Consider the following 16,019-nt stretch of genomic DNA (forward strand, 5'->3'; position numbering starts at 1 on the left):
TTGTAGTTGGGCAGAACAGGTAAGAACAGAAATCTGAGAAATCTGGCCTAGAACAGCTGACTAACCCACATCAAGCCAGGATCTAAGAACATGGTTGTATGAATGGGAGCAGGGAAGTACAGATACTGCCAGACTCACCTCAGGCACTAAGAAAAGGAGGGAACACAGTTAAGGATAAGGTTATGGAAATGCCTAATATAATTTCTACTCACCTCAGGCAGCTAAGTGGAAAGCTGGTAGATACAGAAGCAGTCATGGCTCCACGTCTTTTTCAGATACCCTAAATTAATGGGACATGATCTTCACTCCTGCCTCCTACCACTACTTCCACTGCCACTCATTTTTAGATCGAGGATTTGTGTGCATGATAAAGTCTAGCTTGCAGATACCCATGGACTATTCAGCTAAGCTACCAGTGATTGATTTCCTTCCTTCCTTCCTTCCTTCCTTCCTTCCCTCCTTCCTTCCTTCCTTCCCTCCTTCCTTCCTTCCTTCCTTCCCTCCTTCCTTCCTTCCTTCCTTCTTTCCTCTCTCTCTCTTTTATTCTTTTCTTTCTGACGAAGTCTGACTCTGTTGCCCAGGCTGGAATGCAGTAGTGCAATCTCGGCTCACTGCAACCTCTGCCTCCCAGGTTCAGGCAATTCTCCTGTCTCAGTTCCCCAAGTAGCTGGGATTACGAGTGTGCACCACCACACCTGGCTATTCTTTTTTTTGTATATTTAGTAGGGACAGGATTTCACCATGTTAACCAGGCTGGTGTCGAACTCCCGACCTCAAGTGATCCACCCACCTCGGTCTCCCAAAGTGCTGGGATTACAGGCGTGAGCCACCACGCCCGGCTGAGCTAACAGTGATTTTCAAAGTTTTCTCTCTTGCTTTCTATAATTACCCTCCCTCCCCACTACAAAATTGGTATATCTAAGTCTCAGCAACTGGTATGAAATTATAACTAATGATTCTTTTAAAAATAAATAAAAAATTAAAAAGCCAACAAAACTCTTGAACTATCATGCTTTGCTATTATTCATCTTTTTTTATATTTTGGGTTTTATTTTTAGATTTTACTGTCTAAAGATCTCTTATAATATATTTTAAGCAGGGCAGGGTATCCCAAGATCTCAACATCTGGTCATAAGTTACTTGCAGAGCTGTAGCATAGTTTTCTTTCTTTTGAAAAATAATTAGTCTGTGATGGCTTTAATGGATAGCAAATGAATAAAAACAACTTTTATCTTAACATAGTTTTAGCAGTAAGAATGAATTTTATCAGGCCCCATGATCAGGGATTATCTGGAAACATTTAGTAATAAGTTCCAAGAAAAACTCCAGGGGATGAACCCTTGATCTGCAGGCCTCCTACCAGCTTAAACTTTACAGGGCTAGGGGTCCACCTTCATCCCGCACCCAGGGTCTCCTTTGTGTTGTAGGGGCTCAACTGCTGGTCCTGCCTCCCCCAAGATGGCTTTCCATTTTGTCAAAGTGTTCACAAGTGCCCCAACCAGAAATTACTCTTATGCTTTCCTATGATACTATGGGTCGTCTGCTTTCATTATGTTTATGTAAGAGACAGGACAAGATCCAAACCTCATCGCAATCTCCCAATTGCCAGAAAACCCAACCCTTTACCTATATAGATTAACTTCCAGTTTGTCCAACCCTGTAGGGGGTTGCTGTGGTTTGAATGTGTCCCCCAGAATTCATGTTTTGGAAACTTGACTCCCACTGCAACGGTTTTGAGAGGTGGGACCTTTAAGAGGTGATTAAGTAATGAAGGCTTTGTTCTCATTAATAGATTCATGTTATTTCAGGAATGGGTTCATTATTGTAGGAGTGGGTTTCTTATTTAAAAAAAAGTCCAACCCTCCTCTTGCTCTCTTATTCTCTCTTGTCCTTCTACCTTCCACCGTGGGATGACACAGCAAGAAGGCCCTGGCAAGAAGCCAGCCCTTGAACTTGGACTTCCCAGCCTCCAGAACTGTAAGAAATAAGTCTCTATTCTTTATAAATTACCTGGTTTGTGATATTCTTTTACAGCAGCATAAAATAGGCTAAGACAGGGTCTTCAGGCTATTCCAACACAGATACTGCCTCTAGTCAAAAATGGCCAGACCCTCAGGCCTGGGTACTCCTCATCAATACAGAGAAATGAAACCTGGTCAAGAGAAGAGGCCACTGCTGTCCCAAAGCGCAGCCCATAGAATTACTCCCCAGACACAGGTACCATCTGGATTATCCAGTCTTTGTAAGAACCTGAACTGGTAGTTCTGTGTAAGAAACCTTCAAGGGAAGCCATGAGGGACTCCTCCATCCTTCTTCATCTGCAGCAGGGGGTCATGTGTACTTTACAGAGTATGGTAAAGAATCCCACTGCTGCATCAATCAGTGGGCAAAGAGCCCATCATGACCCATCAGTGTCCCTGCTTCCTCAGGTTGAAGTTCTATGACCACGTTTGTGGGGCTGACAGTTTCTGAAGTTAAGAATCTGACACATTTGTGCATCTGTCCTACTTCTTCCATCTGTCTTCTCCTCTGCCACCCAACCCTTCTACTCAGAGTTGGGATATCAGTAGCCTCTTCTGCCTAGGAAGGGACTAGTCCTGGACTTCCTTGTCATCACTGTCCCCACACCCACCCAATACACAACTCCAAAAGTAGCTCCTCAGGAAACGTCACTTCAGGCCTCAACCTCACACTGCAGAGCTTTTGGAGTGAGGCAGTTAAGGGACAGCTTTAAGTGGCTCTAAGTGCAAACAGAAGAAAGAAATCATCCCTGGCTTCAATGAGGTTCCAGTTTAATGGGGGAAGATGAGGTCCACGAACACATATGAAAGCAGGAAATCACCAAGAGAGCATCATTCCTTGTGTGATAATGGGTTTAAACACCTCGTGGCTGCACTAACACATTAACATAGTTAATCACCACCCCTGCTTCTTGACAGACTTTCTTCCCTTGGTTTCTGGAATGCCATGCTCTCCTGTTTTTCTTCCTACTTCCTTTTCCCCGTCTCTAAATGACTGGCATGCTCACTCCTGAGGTGATCAAATCCAGTCCTGTGGTTTTATACACCATCCAGAAGCTGGTGATCTCCACACACATTTCTTATCCCACCCTCTCCACTGACCTCCAGAATTTGACATCTCACTGTCTACTCCAGATCTCGACTGGCTTATCTAACAAGACATACAGGACCTCTCCATTTCCTCCAGCTAAATGTGCTCTTCTCACAGCATTTCCCATCCAGGCAAAAGGCTCCACTGTCCACCCAAGTGCTCAGGCCCAGAATTCATCCCTCACTCCTCTCCCTCCACTTCCAATCCATAAGCAGCTCTGACTGGTTCTAACTTTAATCTTATCACTCCCCTCCACCTCCACTGCCACCAGCCATCCAAGGCACCATTGTCATGCTTTTAGACCACTGTAGCAGTCTCCTATGTGCCTCCCTAATTCCACTCTCACTTCCCTACAGTTAGCTCCCTCACACAGTCAGATTGCGGTGCTCCCCACTTAACACCCTCCAATGGCTGCCCACTACACACAGAATAAAACCCAAACCCCTTACCATGGCCTACACGGCCCTGCATCACCCAGCTCTGGCTCACTGCCCCAAACTCATCTCCTATTAAGCTCTGCCCTCCCACTCTTACACTCACTGGCCTGCTTTGCTGTTCCTCCAACCACACCAAGTTCACTCCTGACTCAGGGCCTTTGCAATGGACAGTTTTCCTACCCTGAATAGTTTTCTTCCTCCAGATCTTCTCAAGACCCCCTCCTTTATTTTATTGTTTTCTGCTTACATATCACCTCCACAGGGGGGCCTTTCTTGACCACTTGACCATCCTATATAAAATACCCCTCTACCCAATCTCTTCATCCCCTTATGCTCCTTATTGTACTTTATTGTTTCTTTTTTTTTTTTTTGAGACGGAGTTTCACTCTTGTCCCCCAGGCTGGAGTGCAATGGCGCGATCTCAGCTCGCCGCAACCTCTGCCTCCTGGGTCCAAGTGATTCTCCTGCCTCAGCCTCCTGAGTAGCTGGGATTACAGGCCTACACCATCATGTCCAGCTAATTTTTGTATTTTGAGTAGAGACAGGGTTTCACTATGTTGGCCAGGCTGGTCTCGAACTCCTGACCTCAGGTGATCCATCCGCCTTGGTCTCCCAAAGTGCTGGGATTACAGGTGTGAGCCACAGCATCTGGCTCTTACTGTACTTTAAAATCACTGCTGGATGTTACTGTCTTCCTGTTCCACTAGAATGAAAATTACGTGAGAGCAGGGACTTTGCCTCACTCCTCATTCAAAGAGCACTTGTTAAATGAATGAAAGTCATGCCTGGTAGAATGTCATGTCATGTTAGCCACATTGATGGGAGTTACATTCTTTTCTGGGGAAGGGGACTGAATTTTTCATAGAAACAATAACGTAAGAGATGGTTACACTATTGATCAAGGTCCTAATGCCCACCTTTTAAAGAAACATGATCAAACCCCATATTTAACTACAAGTTATATATCAAGCAATATAGAGCTCTCTAAAATACATGTACTTTCATTAAAAAAAGAAAAATAATAATGAAGCATATGTAAATATAATTTGATATATATATCATAATTCATTGTTCAAAGTTATTATATCAAAAGCAGAATGATCATCTTCATTAAAAACACGGAATTCATAAGGCTGGGTTCGTTGGCTCAAGCCTGGAATCCCAGCACTTCAAGAGGCTGAGGTGGGAGGATTGCTTGAGCCCAGGAGTTTGAGGCCAGCCCTGACAACACAGCAAGATCCCATCTCTACAAAGAATTCAAAAGCTGGATATGGTGGTGTGTGCCTATAGTCCCAGCTACTTAGGAGGCTGAGGCAGGAGGATTGTTTAAACCTGAGAGGTCGAGGCTGCAGTGAGCTATAATTGTGCTGTTGCACTCCAACCTGGGCAACAGAGCAACACCCTGTCTCAAAAAAAAAAAAAAGAAAAAAAAAGTCATAGAATTCAGATAAGAGACTTTCCACTGACATCTCTGAAAATACCTATGGAGGAAACTACAGGTTACTTGCCCTTTTGAAACATCTATTAAGAAATGTTGGTAGGGAGAGTGTTAGAAAGTAGCAGGGCATGGAGATACACCTGTGGTGTCCAGGAGGGCAGCATGGAGCCACCCAACCTCTGCAGATCTATCTCCCCTGCCAAGATTGTCTGGAGTCAGGAGAGACTTCTTGTTGCAAGGAAAAGATAAGCAGAAGATCCCCACCGGTCCCCACTGGCATTGCAAACACCTACAGTCCTTACAACAGGAGAATCCCACAGTCCTTACAAGTCCTGGGCCCAGTTTGGAGAGCCACTGGAATTCACACAGCCACATTGCCCTGAATTCGGAGCACAAAGTATGCACTTCCCATCTCTCCCATCCCTTGTGAGCCAAGCTGCTGCAGCAAGGCACAATCTTGAGACCTCAGCCACCTCTGGATTGCATCCTGCTCTGGGGGCCAGTAAGTACTGCACCTTCCAGCACTGGAGCTCCATTTTCCTTACACCAAGCTTATGTGGGTGGCTGTAGCCACAACCCCAGTTGCATGGGCCCAAGATCAGCTGTGACTCTGGTCCTGTACAGCAGGGAAACCAACCCCTGCCATTGCACTTCCAGCCAGAGGAACAATCTGCCAGTTCTGCCTGGGGAAAACCCACCCTTGAGCCAGCCAAATGGTTGCATGCCCTCCTCTAAATAGGAGAGGCCCCTGAGCCTTCAAGCAGTTGATATGCCCCTGCACCAGCAAAGTGGCTATGCATCCACACTCAGGACCTGAGAAACAGCTCCATAATAGCATCCCCCCTTTGCAGGCATGTCCCTGGCCTGCCTAGTGGCCCTGTACCACCCCCACCCCCAAAAAAGGGCCTGAGAAACCCACAGGACATTCCTGGCAGGTATGCCCTTATGCCAGCTGAGCAGCTTTGCACCTGGGTCCCAAACCTAAGAAACAACGCTGTGGACCACCCTCAGCAGATATTCTCCCAGGCTGGCTGAGCAGCTGTCTGTCCACGTCCCAGCCTGAGATATAGCCCTGTGGGCCACCTCTGGCAGGCATGCCACCACACCAGTTGAGCAGTCTTGCACCTGCATCCTGGGCCTAATAAGCAGCTGCATGGGCTGCCCCTGGCAGACACATCACCAGGCTGGCTGAGCAGCTATAAGCCCATGTCCTGAGATGAAGAAAGAGCCCCATGGGCCATCCCCAGCAGACATGCCCCCCAGCCAAGCAGGCAACCATGCAGCTGTGTCACAAGCATAAGAAACAGACCTGTAGGTAGTCCCCAGCAAACACAACCTGAGTCCAGCCAAGTGGACTTCTGTCCGCATCCTGTCCTGAGTCTGAAAAGCAGCCCCACAGACCACTCCTGACAGGCACACTAGGTTGGCCAAACATCTGCATGCTCATGCTCCTGGCCAAAATAACAGCCCTGGGCTCCCAAACCCAGCAAGCTAGACCCAAATTTGGTCAATCCATCATTTACATTTATATCCTCCAACCTTAGAAAGAGCCCAGCAAGCCCAGCCTAGCAAAGCTGCACCACTGTCACCACAAACTCTTTCAGCCTAGGTCACTGAGAAATCACAAATGCCACTAGTGTGGATTACAGGTGAAGAAACTACACAGAGACTACACTAATGCATCCACCTAGAACCCAGGCAAATGCACCCCACTGAACCGACATCACAAGACACATTCATATAAGTCTTTCTCTACAAAGCCTACTTCATAAAATTGGAAGAGGCAACTTTTCCACCAGATGCATAGAAATCAATGTAGAAACACAACCATAAAAAAATCAGAAAATATGTTACCTCCCAAGAAAGATAGTAATTATCCAGTAACAGAATCCAATCATAAGGAAATATATGAAATGCCAGAAAAACAATTCGAAATAATAATCTTAAGGAAAATCAGTGAGATAATCTGATGAAATCAGGAAAATAATTGAAGATTTGAATGAGAAATTCAACAAAGAGATGGATATCATTTAAAAAGAACTAAAAGGAAATCAATTAATGCAATAAAAATTAGCAGAAAACTTCCTAAGTCTTAGGGGAGAGATGGACATTCAGGTCTAGAAAGCTCAAAGAACCCCAAATAGATTAAACCCAAACAGGTCCTCACTAAGGCACATTATAATCAAATTGTCAAAAGTCAAAGACAAAGAAAGAATTTTGAAAGCATCAAGAGAAAAGCACCAAGTTACATATAAGGGAATCTCTATTAGACTAACAGGAGATTTCTCAAAAGGAATCTTACAGGCCAGGAAAGAATAGAATTTAAACTATTGAAAGAAAGAAGGGAAAAACTCTGTCAGCCAAGAATACTATACCCAGCAAAGCTAACCTTCAGAAATGAAGAAGAAATAAAATATTTCACAGACAAGCAAAAAGTAAAGGAATTCATCACCACTAAACTGGCCTTACAAGAAATGCTCAAGGGATTCTTACATCTGGAAATGAAAAGATGAAAAACACCATATATATATATATATATATATATATATATATATATATATATATATATATATATAAAGACTCTACCAAAAAACTTAGAACTGATAAACAAATTTAGTAAAGTTACAGGATACAAAATTAATATACAAAAATGAGTAGCATTTCTACACACAAGCAACAAACTAGCTGAAAAGAAATCAAGAAAGCAAATCCGATTTACAATAGCTACTAAAAAAAAATAGGAATAAATTTAACCAAGGAGGTGAAAGACCTCTACAAGAAAAACTACAAAACACTGATGAAAGAGATTGAAGAGGATACAAACAAGTGGAAACGCATCCTATGCCCATGGATCAGAAGAATTAATATTGTTAAAATGACAATATTATCCAAAGAATACCAATGAAATTCTTCACATAAATAGAAAAAAAATCCTAAACTTTGTATGGAACAATGAAAGGCCCTAAATAGCCAAAGCAGTCCCGACCAAAAATGACAAAGCTGGGGGTATCACACTACTAGACCTCAAAATATACTACAAAGCTGTAGTAACCCAAACAGCATGGTATTAGCATAAAAACAGACACATAGACCAACGGAACAAATAGAGAACCCAGAAATTAATCCACATAGGTACAGCCAATTGATTTTCAGCAAAGGTACCAAGAACATCTTTGGGAAAAGGATACTCTCTTGAATAGATGGTGCTGGGAAAACTGGATATCCAAATGCAGAAGAATAAGACTAGACCCCCCACCGCTCATCCTATACAAAAATCAACTCAAAATGGATCAAAGACCTAAATGTAAGACCTGAAATGATAAAATTACTAGAAGAAAACATAAGGAAAATGCCTCAGAACATTGGTCTGGGAAAATATTTTATGAATAAGACCTCAAAAGCACAGGGAACAGAAGCAAAAATAAACAAATAGTATTATATCAAATGAAAATGTTTCTGCATAGCAAGGGAAGCAAATAAAACAAATAGTGAAAAAACCTACAGGATGGGAGAAAATATTTGCAAACTATTCACCTGACAGGGGATTAATATCCAGAATATACAAGGAACTCAATTCAACAGCAGAAAAACAATCTGATTAGAAAATGGGCAAATGATATGAACAGACATTTCTCAAAAGAAGAAATATAAATTGCCAACAAATATATGGAAAACTGCCCAACATCACTAATCATCAGGGAAATACAAATCAAAACCACAATGAGGTATCATCTTATCCCAGTTAGAATGGCTATTTTCAAAAAGACAAACAACAAATGCTGGCAAGGATGAGGAGAAAAGGAAACTCATATACTCTTGGTGGGAATATAAACTAGTATAGCAACTATGAAAACCAATATAGAGGTTCTTCCAAAACTAAAAATAAAACAGCCATATGATCCAGCAATTCTACTACTGGAAATTTATCCAAAGGAAAAAAGGAAATCATCGAAGAGACGTCTGTATCCCCATGTCTACTGCAGCACTATTTACAATAGCCAAGAAATGGGATCAATGTAGGTATCCAACAGAAGATGAATGGATAAATAAAATGTTGTATAGATACACAATGGAATACTATTCAGCCATAAAAAAGAATGAATCCTGCCATTTGCGGCAACACGGATAGAACTGGAGGACATTATATTAAGTGAGATAAGCCAGGAACAGAAAGTTAGACATGGTGTGTTCTCATTCATATGTGAAAGCTAAAAAATATTGATCTCAAAGAAGTAAAAAAGTAGAACAGAGCATACTAGAGGCTGGGAAGGGTAGGAAGAAGGGTGGGATAGGGACAGATTTCTAAAGGATACAAAATTACAGCTAGATAAGAAGAAGAAGTTCTACTGTTCTATACCATGGTAGGATGACTATAGTTAACAATAATATATTATATAGTTTCAAATAGGTAGAAGAGGATATTGAATGTTTCAAACATAAAGAAATGATAAATGTTTGCAATGATGGATATGCTAATTGCCCAGATCTGATCACCATATATTAATTATATCAAAACATCACCATGTACTCCATGAATATGCACAACTATTATTTGTAAATTTTTTAAAATTAAATTAAATTTAAAAAATGTTTACAACTTGCTAAGGAGTCCTGTATTACCTATGAGTGTCCCATTGGCTCAGACTTTAAGGGACTCACAAAGAAGGGCATGAGTTCTAGACTGCCTTTGCACTGACCAGATGTATCTCAAGAGCTTTGCTCACATGGCCCCAATGATGCAAAGAAAGGAATACTGGGTGAGTCCTATGGTGTCATGTGCCCCTAGGCTTTAAAACTGAAGTTTTATCTCATTTTTATTTACTTCTTTTCCTCACTGCAAATGTTCCCGTCACAGCATAAAGTAGGTGACTAAACAAAGAGGGCTTCTGGCATAGCCCACTCACCAGTACCAGAGGCACTACTTTCATCCTGACTTTTGGCCAGGCAGATGTGTCTTTAAAATAGAAGGGACTTGCATTATTTTGTGCATCCTTTGATCTTCTACCTACGGTGCTTCACAGTGTGAAAAGCCTTAAGGCTTTCCTTTAAAGAACGCCTTGCTCATATGTTCAGTGTTCGCTTTGGTCCAGCCTCCCACAAATCCTAAAATAAAGCCCCCATCTGAGCCACATATGCTGTGTTTTCTTTCAGGCAGTAGCAGGACACTGCTTTTCCCTTTATCAGCCATATTAGAGTCCAACCTTATAGTCACTTTTAAAAAAATTCCTTTAATGTTATGGGATTTATTTCCTTAACAAAACAGCAGGCCCTACATACTTCGATATGTCTTTCAAAGTAATCTAAGAAGCTATTCCCTCAAGTCAATGATGGGGTCATAGTTCAAAGCAGGTTTAGCACCATGGGGGAAATTATCAGTATTATTTTTTTGAAATCACAGACCACACTTCCTGTTATTAATTCATGCCTCCCCAGGTCCACCACCCACCAACCTTCTCACTTTCTTTGTTTCACTGGTATTGGTTTTGGCCCTGCCAGCCTCCTCTGCACTGAGAGTTAACTGACACCCTCACCCCAGGCTGATGTTAGCTGAGGACCCCTGAAGTACTGTAGTAGTTAGACCCTAAGGAGGGGGTCAAGGGTAGCAGCGGGAAACCACCTTCCTCACTGCTAAAGCTGCAGAAAGCAATGGAAACACCCTAAGCCCCAAATTACACATATGAAATCCCAAACGATCACCCACATTTTGGAATATTATTTAGAATATTTACTATTGTACAGCTGCCCAAAGAAGGCACTGTCTTTGTTAAACAGGCTCACTCTACACCTATTATCACACAGGATTTCTCACCAAACAGAGTGCAGGTGACCAGGTTATGGATAGTGTTCTGGCAGCTGCTCAGTCCCACAGAACTAGCTATGGTTATGGGTCCAGGTAACACAAAGTTCCACCTGTGTTCCATCCCCAACAATGCCTGCTTGCCAAGGAACCATGGAGTCAAAGGAGAAATCAAAACCAGAGTTAGTCAGAGCAGCATCCTGGAGCAGCAGGAGGAGAAAGTTTTCAGCCAGCTTGGAAGGATGGAGTACCACAGCGTGCAGTGTGAACAGTTTCTAGCAGCAGCCAGGGCAACCCGCAGGCCCTTAATCTTGTTTCCTGGCTAGTTCCAATGATGATTTCCACCACCTTCGCCAGTTCAAGAATTCTGACCAGCTAAGCCAAAATCAACAGACAATGCTACAGCATACTGCCTTCACTCTTACCTGCTTGGGCAGCTGGCCAGGTGCCATCTCACCTTGGGGGCAGCAGTCTCTTCTGGGCACCTAGAAAGACACACAGCTCCCCTCTCTGCAGCCTCCCCAGGGTGGACTGAGGAGGAATGGTCAACAGCATAATGTAAACTCTGTTCACTCACCACCGTCTTCTCTGTTGTTTGTTGTGGCAACTGGGCCAGTGGGACAGGAAAGGCGTCCTGAAGCTCTCGGCTGGGAAGCTCCTGAAGTTGCTCTGAACTGCAGCAGAGGCAGCCGGGAGCCACCTGGGTGGGTGGGAAGGAGGAAAGGAAAGCCAAATCAGAGACAGACACGCAAAAGGGATGTGGGAGCGGCTGGGAGGAGTACATCACTCTGGGACAGGCTATGTAGAAATAGGGAAGCATCCCAACAGTGACGATGGGTGGCTTTTATTACCGTGTGGGGGGGTTATACGTTTAGAGTTCAGGAACAATAGTTACAAGGAGAACCAGAACGAGGTACTTTCTTCCCCCACAGAGGACAGACGCAGAACCATGACGGTGGTACTCAGGGTAGATTGCAGGGTCTAGGGAGAGGCCCTGGCAGGGGTGAGGGAGGAAGGCCATGGGAGCTGCCTTCCTGCAGGTGAAAGGCAGTGCAGGTAGGTGGCTGTTGGGGCATTCTGGAGGGAGCTGGCTCCTGGCTATCAGGGATCTGGCTTCGGTGACATGGCCAGGGGAATAAAGGGCTGACAGGGCAGGAAAAGAAACACCAACACACTGGGAAAGCACTGTGCTTCTAGAGGAGTGTCTCTCCTACCTTCACTGTCCCAGGGCTGGGCTGATATGCTCTGTTCCCCCAGCACCACACCAAGGTGGAACACGGGACCCCCGACTCAGCCTGGCCCAGGCTCCTGAAGTTCCCCCTTCTCCTCCCTTCAGACACTTTTGTTTTCCTCTGAGGGAAAATCTCACTTCTTAAGAGGGAAATAAATACCTACAGTAAGTAGCAATTCCATTTCCTCAGAGGGACAAATAACTTATTTCAGAGCCCTCCATAAGCTACCCATCCAGATGGTGTGTTAATTTGAAAAGGATAGTTTGAAAATCCAAAGGAAATCAAGCCCTCACAATGGCATTTGCTGTTTTTGAATGTTTTCTGTTCCCTCCCAAAATTTATGTTGAATCTTAATCCCTGATGCAACAGTGTTAAGAGGTAGGACCTTTAGGAGGTGATTAAGTCAAGAGGGCAGAGCCCTGGAGAATAGGATCAGCAACCTTATAAAGGGGCTGGAGCGAACTGGTGAGGCCCTTTTTTGCTCTTCTGTCTTCTGCCAAGTGAGGACAAAGCAACTTGGCACCATCTTGGAAGCAGAAAACAGCTCTCACAAGACACCAAATCTGCTGGTGTCTTGATCTTGGACTTCCATTTTCCAGAACTGTGAGGAAAAAAAATTCTACTATTTGTAAATCACCCAGCCTCAGGTATTTTGTCATAGCAGCACAGATAGACTAAGACAGCATTTCAGCAGGGGACTTCCACACTGAAAACGTCCTTACACAATCCCTTAATAAATCACAAAGGAGAGAGAGAGGGTGGAAACCCTGAGTTTAGGGTTGTGGCTTCCCCTGACACTTTGAGGGACACTTTGAAAAGGAAACGGGAGAGACGGGGCTCTCAAAGAAGGGGCAGGATGAGGTGGAATTCCCACCCCATTACAGTCCCACAGCCAGGTGCTCTTTTCCACCTGGACAGGAAGTGTCAGCAGAAAGTTCATTTCAGGAATGCCAGCCTTGTCTGCACCCAGTTGCTCCCTGTAATCTGTTTGGCCACAGGACCAAATGAGAGCTCAAGCAGAACAGGTGTTTCTATAAGGAATGGTTTCCACATGTCTCATAAGCTAATCCAGGCAATCCCAGCAGGACATCTCTTGACCTTGAAGAGAAAGGTCAAGCTCAGGACATCTGCTGCCACCCCCCTCAATGTATATCCATCTCTGGTGAAGGTTTAGGGATACCTATTGCTTCTTAGTTCCTTAACCTTGACCCCACCTCCAGTGAGCACACCTGGCCCTTCATTCTCAGCAGCCCCCTTCTGCTTTCTACCAGCCAGAGGAGCCTCCAAACCTGCTGCTCTCCCTATCCTCAGTTCCCTACCCTGCCCCATGCACACGGGAGGCCCCTGGGTGCTCTGTCATTTCCATTCTTTTGCCCAGCTGATTAGGCCACATCTGGCTATTATTTCACAACTCACATGCACCACAGACATTTAATACTCTCCTGCTTCTCAAATAATTAGAAGCCACTCACAAGAAAACAAAAAATAAAGCTGTTAATTATGTAAAAATTAAAACTATATAAAAGCTGATAATATGGGTGAAATGATTTTCTAAGCTAATTTTTCAACCCTATCAGGCATTACATCTATCCCCGAGTTCCCTGACACTCATGGCAAAAAAGGAAACAGGAGAGGTCACACAATTCTCCTTGTCAAATGAGGACACGAAGCCACTTCATCAGGTAACAGGGCCCTCCAGTGCTAATCTCCAAAAGGTCTCTCTCCAGAGAGAGGACTGAACAACACTGGAAAATTGTCCACTGAACAATGGACAATTCTACCAATAGGGTTTTCAAAAGGAAACATTTGGCATTTCATTACTGTTTTTTGTTTGTTTGTTTGTTTGTTTTTTGTTTCTTGGAGACAGATCTTGCTCTGTCGCCCAGGCTGGGGTGTGCAGTGGTGCAATCTCAGCTCACTGCAACCTCTGCCTCCCATGTTCAAGTGATTCTTGTGCCTCAGTCTCCCAAGTAGTTGGGACTACAGGTGCACGCCACCATGTCCTGCTAATTTTTGTATTTTTAGTAGAGATGGGGTTTCACCATGTTGGCTAGGCTGGTCTTGAACTCCTGACCTCAAGCAATCCACATGCCTCGGCCTCCCAAAGTGCTGGGATTACAGGCGTGAGCTACTGCGCCCAGCCTCAGAGTTTGGTAACTTTTTAATATCAACATTTGATAAAAAGGAAAATAATAAAATATGTCTTGGGATTTTTGCAGGGATCTAAAGCAAAGGTCTGGACAGGTAATTTAATAAAGGTCTTGGTGGTTCTCAGTGGAAAGTTGAGTTGCCCTCATCACCCATCCTGGAGGTGGGGGTGCAGGTGGGTAAAGGTGGTGCAGGCAGGTTGCACGGGGTTAAGGGTTAGGGGGATTGAGGGAGCATTGGGATGCGCAGTGGGATTATTGACTGTCACAACGACTTGAGAACAAGGGAAAGGAGCTGAATGTCCTACATTAAATAGAATGCTCATTATAAAGAGCATTATAAAGCATTTTGTCTTGCCTAAAATGCTAATAGCACCACTGGAGAGAAACACTGGAAGGGAAATGAGTAATTAGCATGACTCTTCTAGTGCCTGCTCTAAAATACCAATTAAGTCTTTACAGGGAGTTGATGGCAGTGACCACAAGAATGTCTGCTCCGGGAAGTAGAGATGAAGGAGGATGCCAGGTTTCTGATGTGTCAGCTCTGCTGGTGGTAAAATGCATATTGTCTTATGAGGCATAACGAGCCTGAAGGGTATTGTTGGCTGGACAGAGAGCTGGGCAATGGTGCACTATAAGCATGCCCATGGAAAGGAACATAGCTCTCCTTTTATTTCTTTATATGTCTAAATGAAGACACAACTGGAACACAAAAACTACACATCAATCCATCATAGGAGAAACTATTTTAGGATAGAGCAGTGTTTCTCAAAGTGTGGTCCCTAATTAGCATCACCTGGGAACTTGTTAGAAATGCAGATTATTGGGTCCTACCCCAGACCTGCTGAATCAGAAACTCTGGGTGTGGGGCTGAGAAACCTGCGTATTGACAAGTCCTCCAGGTGACTCTGATGCAGGCTCAAGGTTGAGAACCACTGGTCTAGAAAGCCTGAGGTTCAATATGGCAATCAGTCACAAGAGAGATTTTAGAAATCCTGCTTCATCCCTGTGTAGAGTTTCTATTAGGCTCAGAGACGGAGGGGAATATTTGAATATGTCTGTGGCAGGCAACTGATCAGGGGTGGAAGACCTGAAGACAGAAGACCCCAGGGATGAGAAATAAGGACAAAGAGTAAATTATCAAGGGCCAATCTGAGCCTCAAGTTTAATTAACCATCCTAGGAAGATTTTGTTTTAATTTAACTTGTATTCCTGTTTGAATAGCAAATACAGTTATATGGTTTGAAATTGTTTGGGGGCTCAGAAAACAATACCCCAAAATGAAGACTTCAGAAGCAGCCTCAGAAGCAAAAGTTTCTCTCTGACCTTCTTCTTCCCTCCTGTCTCTGGCCACTCATTCTCCTCCAAGGACACCAGAATCCCTCTTCCCCAAGGCAGGTTATAGAAACCAGAATCCCTTTTCCTTAAAGCCAGCCAGGAAACCTAAAAATATTATTCTAACTTCTCCCCCTGGCCTTTCTGTGTAAAAACTGGCCATAAAGAAATTATCTGACCTACCTTGTTTGACTGTAGGTCATAAGAGCCCCATTCCAGAGAGAGTCTTGCCCCATCAGAAGGAAGAAATGCTGCACAGAGAGGAGGAATACAAACAGAAAGGCCTTGCTGAGTTTCCCTACTCAGTCTATTAGCATTAGATTATACCCTTTTTGCCCAATCATATTTTTACACAGTTGTCCACAGTTTATTGAACCTAAGCATAAAAATGAACGTTTCCTTTGTATCTTTGGGTCTTCATTCGAAGGCTCCCATGTCATGGAAAACTATGATCAAATAAATTTATGTGCCTCTTCTACTATTAATCCACCTTTTGTCATTTGATGTTTAGTGAACCTTCAG

The 16,019-nt window shown here is 43.8% G+C and overlaps 1 protein-coding gene across 15 annotated transcripts in view; it reads right to left on the reverse strand.

The window, feature by feature from the left end:
- MYLK (myosin light chain kinase) overlaps positions 1–16,019 on the reverse strand; it is a 274,284-nt gene that overhangs the window by 210,139 nt on the left and 48,126 nt on the right. For 6 of the 15 annotated variants that reach the window (XM_047448186.1, XM_017006469.3, XM_024453534.2 and 3 more), the window contains exons 1-2: positions 11,361–11,454; positions 11,209–11,268 (exon numbers count right to left, since the gene is read on the reverse strand). In XM_047448186.1, coding sequence (XP_047304142.1) covers positions 11,209–11,235 — 27 coding nt within the window. In that variant the 5' untranslated portion in view covers positions 11,236–11,268; positions 11,361–11,454. Of the gene's footprint in view, positions 1–11,208; positions 11,269–11,360; positions 11,484–15,680; positions 15,749–16,019 lie in introns of those variants that run through there. The other 9 variants (XM_047448184.1, NM_001321309.2, NM_053028.4 and 6 more) reach the window with 3 other exon arrangements.

This window comes from Homo sapiens, chromosome 3 (assembly GCF_000001405.40).
Source record: "Homo sapiens chromosome 3, GRCh38.p14 Primary Assembly".
Lineage (NCBI taxonomy): Eukaryota > Metazoa > Chordata > Mammalia > Primates > Hominidae > Homo > Homo sapiens.